At 35.3% G+C, this 9,478-nt stretch overlaps 1 annotated feature.

Moving 5' to 3' along the window:
• Nucleotides 8,072–8,674: an enhancer, noted in NCBI's record as "NANOG hESC enhancer chr8:50516568-50517170 (GRCh37/hg19 assembly coordinates)". NCBI's record gives its function as "activates a minimal SCP1, AML or CMV promoter by ChIP-STARR-seq in naive H9 embryonic stem cells {active_cell/tissue: H9 hESC(naive)}" and the evidence as "EXISTENCE:reporter gene assay evidence [ECO:0000049][PMID:30033119]".

Below are 9,478 nucleotides of genomic sequence, written 5' to 3'. Positions count from 1 at the left end.
TATAATATGAACTTTATGAGGCATAACAGTCAACCTGTCATTTCCCTCTGTGAAGAGATAGCACTTTCAATCCATGCAAGATACTGTCTCTACCTGGTTTGAAAACTAACATTTCCAATAAAGCTTTCCTTTCTACTATGTAGCCCTCCTGGTGGTCTTTTGGATGATATATGCTTAGTCATTTTTGCTTGCTTCCCAGATATTGTTGATTTAATTTTGGGGGGTGCTGGGTATTTCTGTATTTCTACAAATGTTCTTGATGATTTGGCTTATGTTTGTTTCTATAGCCTTTGATCTAAAATGATTTTTACATTTTTAAAGACTTGTATAAAATAAAATACTGCACGTCGTCCTCAAAGCCTAATATATTTAGTCTCTGGCTCTTTAGAGAAAAAGTTTGCTGAGGTCAGCTTTACCTGATGCATCATAAATGATAAGGTTTTCCACTCCGGCTGCTAGGAACAGGAGTTATGATAGTCCTGTGAGCCCCTGCTATTGCTCCTTCTAATCCTCTTGGGGTGTTCTTTCTCTGACTTCAGGTAGTTTCCTCATATGCATTCATTGATCATTCCTCAACTGAAGACTTAGCCAGAGGGAGTGGGGTGGGCGGGGGGGTGGGGATGACTCCGCAGATCTCCAGGGCTAGCTCTCTTTCTAGCTCTCTCCTTGATGGAGAGAGCTAGACTTACATGCCTGGGCCTATAAGTCTAGCAAGAGACTCTCACTTTCACCAGGGTTTCCCCTTCACGCATCTTAGAAGGAAGAGTAGCAGTGGCTCACACAGTACTATTATAACCCCTGCATCCCAGGCTAGAAACTTTCTCTAGGCAGTAGCTGCAGTCATAGTGCTCAACACAAACACGTAGATTCCCATATCTCAGGGGTAACTAACTTTCCTTGCTTTATGTTCAATATATTGAAAAACTAGTATTTTATATCTCTTATATGGCTTTTCATTTGTTTCAGGTGGCCAGGTACAGCTAATCCCTGTAACTGCACCTTGATCAGAAGCGAGAATGTTAAGATTGTGCTAAGTCATTCTGACTCTTTACTTGTTCCCATTTTAGAAGTAATTTTACAATGATGATAAATGCGGAATTTTTTTCTATGCAGTATGATATTTCTCTACACAGTAGGGGTTTACTGACTTCGGTCTTAGGGGCCAGTAAACTATTGCATTTATACTAAATCCAGCCCATGACCTTTATTTTTATATGACCCATGAGTCAAAAATAATTTTTACAGTTTAAAAAATTATTTAAAAAGCAGAAAACGAATTTTTTTCAACAGAAACTGACACTGTCCAAAAGGCATAAATTATTTATTATTTGGTCCTTTTGAGGAAAAATTTATATCTGTAGATTTGTGTATCTTTAAATCTATAAAAGGTATTCGAGATTATTATAAGAGACCATCTTGTAGTGTACGGCTTTAGATCATATAGTATATATATTTTTTCTCTATGTCTCAATGTATGCCATATCAGCCACTTCATCTGAATTAGCACACAAATAATACCAATTTCATAAGGTGTGTAAGTATTAAGTAAAATAATCCATATAAATACTGATTATTGTCTGACATACAGTAAATGCTCAATATTATTAAATATTTGAAATTATCAGCATTTGAACAGTTTTGTAGAGGTTACAAAGCCAAAAGTATAGTACAAAAGTACTATAAAAGAACATATGGGTCATTTGTATCAAAATTTTCTTATCAGCACATTGTGATATCCATGTGCTTTCCAGTAGCATGTACTAATATTTCACTTAATTATTTTAGGTATCTTTTAAATTGTTCTATCTCACATTTAGGAATATCCCTATAAATTAATATTGTTGGTTTAGTTTGTTAACATTTTTGGAATTACTGATGATATGTGACTGTGATTAATAGATTTGCATTAGTTGTAAAGGCTCTGTAAGATTGTTTGCTTACTCCATATGAAAGATGATATATTGCGACAGATACAATAATCAGAATTATAACAATAATAGCAAGAGGAAATAATCCTCCTTACAAGATTTTACACTTGAAATCCAAATGCAGCATAACGTGTACCATAGTTTGCCATTCAGTGACTTTGGTGCTAGTTTGCTATAACTGCAGTATACTTACTTGCAGATGTACTTATTGCCTCTCAGTGTAAACAAACATACATATAACAGTAAAACTTGATTTTAACTTATTATAACATTGTGAAATTTACTATTTTTCTTTTGTTGTTTTTTTAATTAAAAAATTGCAACTTTTTTGTTGCAATCCACTGTAAAACATTGTTTAAAAACATTGTGCTAAGCTATTTAGATTAACTCCCTTGGATTCTACAATAGCAATGCATTTCCGTTGTTCTTTTTTGCATTATTAACTCTTAGCTGACAAAAGACACACACGCGCACACACACACACACACACACAGAACTTCACATTTAGTGGACTTTCATGTCGAAATGATTAAAAAAAAATTAACTCCATGAGGGAAAGACTAGTAGATTTTTAATATTCAGCAGATTTTGGTTAAATAAATAAATTTCAGAATAGAACTGTAAATCTCTGCTATTGTACACTTGGTTATGTTGCTTCCCTGTCTCTTGTTTTTTTGTTTGCTTGTTTGTTTTAATATTATATGTGGCATGCCTCTCTGCTCATGCATGCCTCTTTTATATTACCGTAGAGTGTCCTTCACACATCCCTAAATTGACAAAATCTCCCAGGCCTGGTAGATATACAAAGAGAAATAAAGAGAGAAGCTAGTCCTGAAACCTAAGTATCTCATGTTCAGAAAACCTGAAAAGAGAAGTCAGTTAAGATAACAAAACAGAAAAAGGTATATTTAATGTAACCATGATAGTATACCTTTTTATAACAGTATTATAACAAAAATCACAAGAACAATTACATTTTCTATTTGAAATGTTTTCATGTCTGTTTATACTGTGCAGGGAGAAAAATTGCTCCTGGGGTTTTGGGCCATGATCCGGCCTTCAGACTGGTCAGGGTTGCCTCTTCCGTGGATGATTTAACAAACTAGCTAGAAACATAAGAAAGAAAAATGAACTTGGAAATATTATAAAGCATACATTTTCTATCTTCTAATTTATCTCCCACATCATATTCACAGAAAATTAGATTTGGCAGTTCTATTTTTTTCTGACTTATTTTGTGTGGTAAATAACTCAGATATGAAGGGTCATATAAAGTACGTGTGTACAGAATAAGAATTTCATTATTCTAATGATAAAATGTTATAGACACAGTCGAGCAAGACTAAGTGCTGATATTTACAGATAAGAAAGTCCTCTTGCATTTCAACAGTACAAAGTCTGAATCCTTGTAAGTGGTAAAAAAATTTTATCTTGTAATGTCCCCTGCTCTTTTTTGCCAACCTCATTGTCTTCCATACAGAAATGATAATATGAAGCTGCTGATTTTAATGCCACATACTGCCCTTGGATGTGTTCCTCCTCATTCTCTATGCCCCAAATCCATCAGGTAGATCACTAGGACTCAGGCTGTCACATCAGCTCAGGTGATAGTGCCCCCAAGAATCATGCCCCATCAGAGAGAAGTAATGAGTCATCTCATGAGTGTAGCTAGTATCAAGAGAAAGATAATATATGGAATAACCTCTTTTGTATGAAGCAGAATGGACAAAATGGAGGAATGTATAAAAAAAGCTGAGAAGTCAGGTAGAAACATTAATTAAAAGATATCAAGGAGGAACAAAATAAGAAAGGGAAAGAACTATGAAGGCAGAAACAGAATGTCAACATCTTTTTTAGTACTAGTCTCATAAAGACACAAAAATAGGAGGAAATATCTGACAAAATAATAACTGAGAATAAAGCTGTATTTTCAATTGAAGGAAAACAACTCCAAATCTATATTTTTATGCTGAGCTAACATAAACTTTAAATAGAAAGGCAAAACAAATATATCCTAAGGCATGGAAAACTGTAAAAGTTTTACATTCCAAAAATTCTTTTGCAAGCAGCAATCAAACAAGAAGAGAAGCAAATCTAGATGGAGTTTACAAGATATGGGAAATAGAGCAAGTAAAAACAAAAATGTTTGGAAAATTTACTATTCTATAAATTTTTGAAAAAAGCAAAATTAAAAAAGAATATTAACAATGAGAAACAAATCTAACTTTGTAGTTTAACATCCAGCATCCTAACAGGCACTTTTGGAAAACAAAAGTGTTTAACTTTTATTAAAGTCTAATTTATCATCTTTTTCCTTTATAGATTATTCCTTTGATGTCAAGTTTAAGAATTCTGAATAGACCTAGATTTCTGAAGAACTTCTGTGTTTTTCCTAAATGTTATGGATTTTTATATTTTACATCGAAACTGTGATTTGTTTTAATTTGGTTGAGGTGTGAATGTAAGCGTTGTGGTTTATATTTTTGCCTGTGGATGTCCAATTGCTCTAACATCATTTGATGAAAAGACTGTCATGTCTCCGTTGATGGTTTTTGTACCACTGTCAAAATTCTGTTGGTAGTCTTTGTGTGGGGCTGTTTCTAAGTTCTGGATTCTGTTTCATTGATCTGAATGTATATATGTATATATATTATATATACGTCTATATATACATATATGTCAATATATATATATGACTATCCCTTTGCAATACCATACTATTTTGATTATTTTAGCTAAATGTAGGACTTAGTATTGAGTACAGTGATTCTTTACACTGTATTCTTCTTTTCCAATATTGTTTTAGTTATTCCAGAGCTATCCCTTGGTATTTCCATATATATTTTTGGATAAATATGCTTATCTTTAAAAAAATCTTACTGGCATATTGATAGTGTACCAACATTGCTGATATTAAACCTGTCTATCAGCCTGGGGGAAATTGATAGCTTTACTAAGCTGAGTCTTCTAATCCATGAACATGGAATGTCTCTATTTACTGAAGACTTTAAACAAATTTCTTTCATCAGCATGTTGTGATTTTCAACATACAGTTGTATATATGTATAACATATAGTTCCTGTACATGCTGTATTGTTTACACCTATGTACTTACTTTTCTTTGGAGGAATTATAAATGACATTATATATTTAATTTTCATTTTCACAGGTTTATTATTAGTGTAAAATGTTTTGGATTCATTTTGTTCTTGTTTTTCTGGTTTCTTGAAGCAGATAGGAGCTTAAATTATACATCACACATGTTTTGATATCTTACATTTTCGTTTTCAACTGATTATTTGCATTTTAAAAATTTACTTTGAGACTTTCTTTTTGACCCATGGGCTGTTTAGAAGTCTGTTGCTTGATCGCCAATTGTATGGAGATTTTCCTGTTGTCTTTCTTCTTTGATTTTTAGTTTGATTTCATTGCATTCAGAGAATATACTCTGAATCCTTTTTTTTTTTTCTTTTGAGATGGAGTCTCGCTCTGTTGCCCAGGCTGGAGTGCGGTGATGCAATCTCTGCACACTGCAAGCTCCACCTCCTGGGTTCACACCATTCTCCTGCCTCAGCCTCCCAAGTAGCTGGGACTACAAGCGCCCACCACCGCACCCGGCTAATTTTTTGTATTTTTAGTAGAGACGGGATTTCACCGTGTTAGCCAGGATTGTCTCGATCTCCTGACCTCGTGATCTGCCCACCTCGGCCTCCCAAAGTGCTGGGATTACAGGCGTGAGCCACTGTTCCTGGCTCTTCATTTTTTTTTTTTTTTAAAGTAGCATTCTCTTTCTCCTCTCCTTCTGTGATGCCAAAAATACTAAAGTTAGCTGTAGTGCTATTATCTGAAAGGTCTCTGAGACTCTGTTATCATTTAAAAAATAACCTATTTTGTCTCTCTTAATCAGATTAAATACATTTATTTGTCCACCCATTTACTAATTCTATTTCTGTAATCTCCACTCTGCTCTTGAGATCATGCAGTGAAATTTTTTTGTAGCTATAAAACAACTAGTTTTAGTTTTTATTTCATTATTTTGAGTTCTATAATTTTCATTTGTGTGTTCTACAGCTTTATTGAAGTATACTTTTAATATCATAAAGCTTACCTATTTTAAAATAGAACTAAATCATTTCAATATGGTAACAGAGCTATTCAACTACCACTGCAACCTAATCTTAGAACATTTTTATCACCCTAAAATTTATGTGTAATTCTCCTTATCCTCCCCACCCCACTCACCCACCAGCTCCAGCCCCAGTCCACTACTCATTTAGTTTTTTTTCCTATTCTGGACATTCCATAAAAATGGAATCAAACAATACTTTTTATTAAAATCTGGACGTTTTAAATAATATAATGTGTCAGCACTGGTAATCAGATCTCCTCTCTTTTCTGGGCTGTGTTGCTGTTTCTTTTTTCTGTTGCCATAGTTGTTGTTTATTTGGCTATTAATTTTACTGGACCGGTTCTTTAAAGTCTGTTCCCTGCCTTGTTGGTAGCTTGTAGCCTAAAAAAAGTTACACTGCAAAGTATGAGCATTCCAATTTCTCATCATACTCAACAACACCTGTTATTGTCTTTCTACTATAGGTTTTAGCCACTCTACTTAGTATAAAGCTGTATATCATGATGGTTTTGATTTACATGTTCCTAATAGTGATATTGAGCATTTTTTCATGTACTTAGTGACAATTTGTATATCTTCTTTTGAGAAATGGACAGTCAAGTCATTTACCCACTTTTATTTGTGTTATTTATCTTACGGTCTAGTTGTAAGAATTCCTTATTTATTCAGGATATTCTGAATACAAGTTCCTTATCTATGAACACTGTACAAGTTTTTGTCCCATTTTTGTGAGCTGTCTTTTCACTTTTTGATGGTGTCTTTTGAAACACACGTTTTTCATTTAATAAAGTCTAATTTATCTGTTTTTTCACTTTTTTCACTGTACTTTGGGTATCATGTTTAATAAAGTTGTAAAAATTTATTCATGATCTTTTTTCTGTGTGTTTTATAGGTTTAGCTCTGACATTGATGACCTATGATTCATTTTGAGTTCTTCTCTGTATAAGAGGTGAAGTTTATTCTTTTTTTGTAGCTATCCAGTTGTTCCAGAACCACTCGCTAGAAAGTCTGTTCTTTCCTCATTGAATTGTATTTGTACTTTTAGCTGTTTTAACATCTTTGTCAACTAATTTCGGTATCCAGCTTATCTCTGTGTTGTTATCTGGTGATTGACTTTTGTCACTCTTATTGTTATTGTCCATGTTCTGGGTATCATAAGTGATTTTTAAATTGTATTCTGGACATTTTAAATTCCATGTTAGAAGACTGTGAGTCCTATTTAATTTTCCTTTTTAGCACAAGGTCTAGATGGATCTGCATGTTTTTATCTTCAAACTGGATCACACTGATGCAGGATTTTTCTCCCCCTTCATTGGACTTGTGATGGAGGTGCCCCATTTACTCAGGCTGCCACACTCAACCCCTTGTGGGAGTGAGCAAATGAGCAAGCTCCATGGCAGTGCCCAGGTTGGGGTGCCTGCAAACCCTGAAGCACCAGAAGGAATATTACAATGCTTTCTTAGCTCCGCCATCCATGGACAGCTGTATGTTATCAGATCGGGGGACCCTCACCTTATCTTGTGGGGTGGCTGCCCCCTCCACCAGGAAGGGCAAAGGGCCAGCATGACAACTTTCTTTGGGTACTGACATTCAGTGGGTCCCGAACTCTTGTCTGGCATCCAAGAATGAGGTTGTTTGGAAACTTGAAGGATGGTGAAAGCGAAGAAATTTGTTAAGTGATGGAAATGGCTCTCAGTGGAGAAGAGAGCTGGAAAGGGAGTGGGACAGACAGGTAATCTTCTCCTGAAGTCTGGCCATCTCTGGATGGCTCTTCCCTGAAGTGAAGCCATCTTTCTGAATTTAAGCCACCTCTCTTCTGAAATCCAACTGTCCTCTGAAGTTAATTGGCCTTTCTCTAGTCAAGCGACTTTTTCCCCTCTATTGACTGAGTCTGGGGTCTTTATAGGCACAGGATTGGGAGGTGGTGGGGGGCCATAGGTAGTTTTGGAAAAGGCAATTTTTGATTGGTTAAAAGACATTATTTAGAAAGACCCAATCAGGAGACAGCAGGCAAACAGGGATGGAAGTTCTCACTTTGGGCCATGGGTTTCAGGCTTTTGGGCTTGAGGGTGGGGTTTCACCAGGACCCACCCCTGTCTGCCTAGAATTTCTGTGTCTCACTATCAACACTGACATCATCACAGAAAATGTGGGTACTGACTCACATGGCTTCATTGCAAACAGCTGGAGTGAGAGCAGCTTAAAGTGGGGCTCCTGCTCTCACTGTCTTGCGGTTTCTAAGTGAGGGTGTAAGATCTCTCTGTATTAAGCTCTCTCTGTGTTCTTTCTGTCTGCCTCTGGGGAGAAGAAAACAGAGGGCTGTCACACCCCTGTGGCTACATTGTGAAGGCATAACTTAAGCTCCCTCCAGGCCCCTTTGATACCAAGAGAGTAGGGAGGGGGAAGCAGGCCATGAAGAGCCCTACCTCTCACCCCACATTTTGCCCGACTCATGTCCTAGGGAGGTGGGGGCTCCACACACCACTGGGCCCTGCTGACAACAGAGAAAGGGGTAACCCAGTGTTAATTCTTCCATTCTGCATCATTGCTGAGTACTTCATACTATGTTGAGTACTCTGGGAATAAAATAATAAGAAACTTGATTTCTAGCCACAGACATTTTAATTTTATTGAACAGATGAAACGAAATGCAAAATATTGAAACATATCCTCAAAGCAGCATCACTGCTTACACGACTTTTTAGCACCAGTTTTATAGTTTTCATGAAATAAAAAAGAAAGTGCAAACAGGGAGGACACAGTGACTAGTGTGGCAAAGAAGGCAGTATTGAAAATGTAATTTGAGAAGGGGCTGGGGAAAGGTGAAATTTGTACTGAAATATTGGAACATTATCTGTATCCTGGAGGCCCCTTCACTTTTTCTGCCAGCCACTACTCCAAATGTAGCCACTATTCTGAATTTTATTAATTTAATAATTTTTATACTTCATAAATGGAAATAATACAGTATATACAAGTTAGTGTGTAAATTGTCTAGTCAACATGATGCTTGTGATAATCATCAATGCTACTGCAAGTAGCAGTAGTTCGGTCATACTCATTGTGCCATTGGTTGGATATATCACAATTTATTAATGCTTTCTACTGTTTTATGTATTTTTTATTTTTAAATTGACAAAAATTGTATATATTTTTAGTGTACAACATGATGATTTAGTATATGTATATACTGTGAAATGGCTAAATAAAATTACTTAACAAGCATTTTCTGCCATACTTTTAAAATTTATTTTTAATTGACAAATAATAGTTGCGTATATTTATGGGGTATAATGTGATGTTTTATTTACATATACTTTGTAGAAAGAATCAAGCTAATATATCTGTCACCTCATAAACTTATTTTTTTTGTGGTGAGAACATTAAAAAATCTATTCTTTTAGCAGTTTTGAAATATACA

The sequence above is a fragment of the Homo sapiens genome, chromosome 8 (assembly GCF_000001405.40).
Source record: "Homo sapiens chromosome 8, GRCh38.p14 Primary Assembly".
Lineage (NCBI taxonomy): Eukaryota > Metazoa > Chordata > Mammalia > Primates > Hominidae > Homo > Homo sapiens.
The sequence above is the reverse complement of the archived record's forward strand: the minus strand, read 5'-3'. Positions and strand labels throughout refer to the sequence as shown.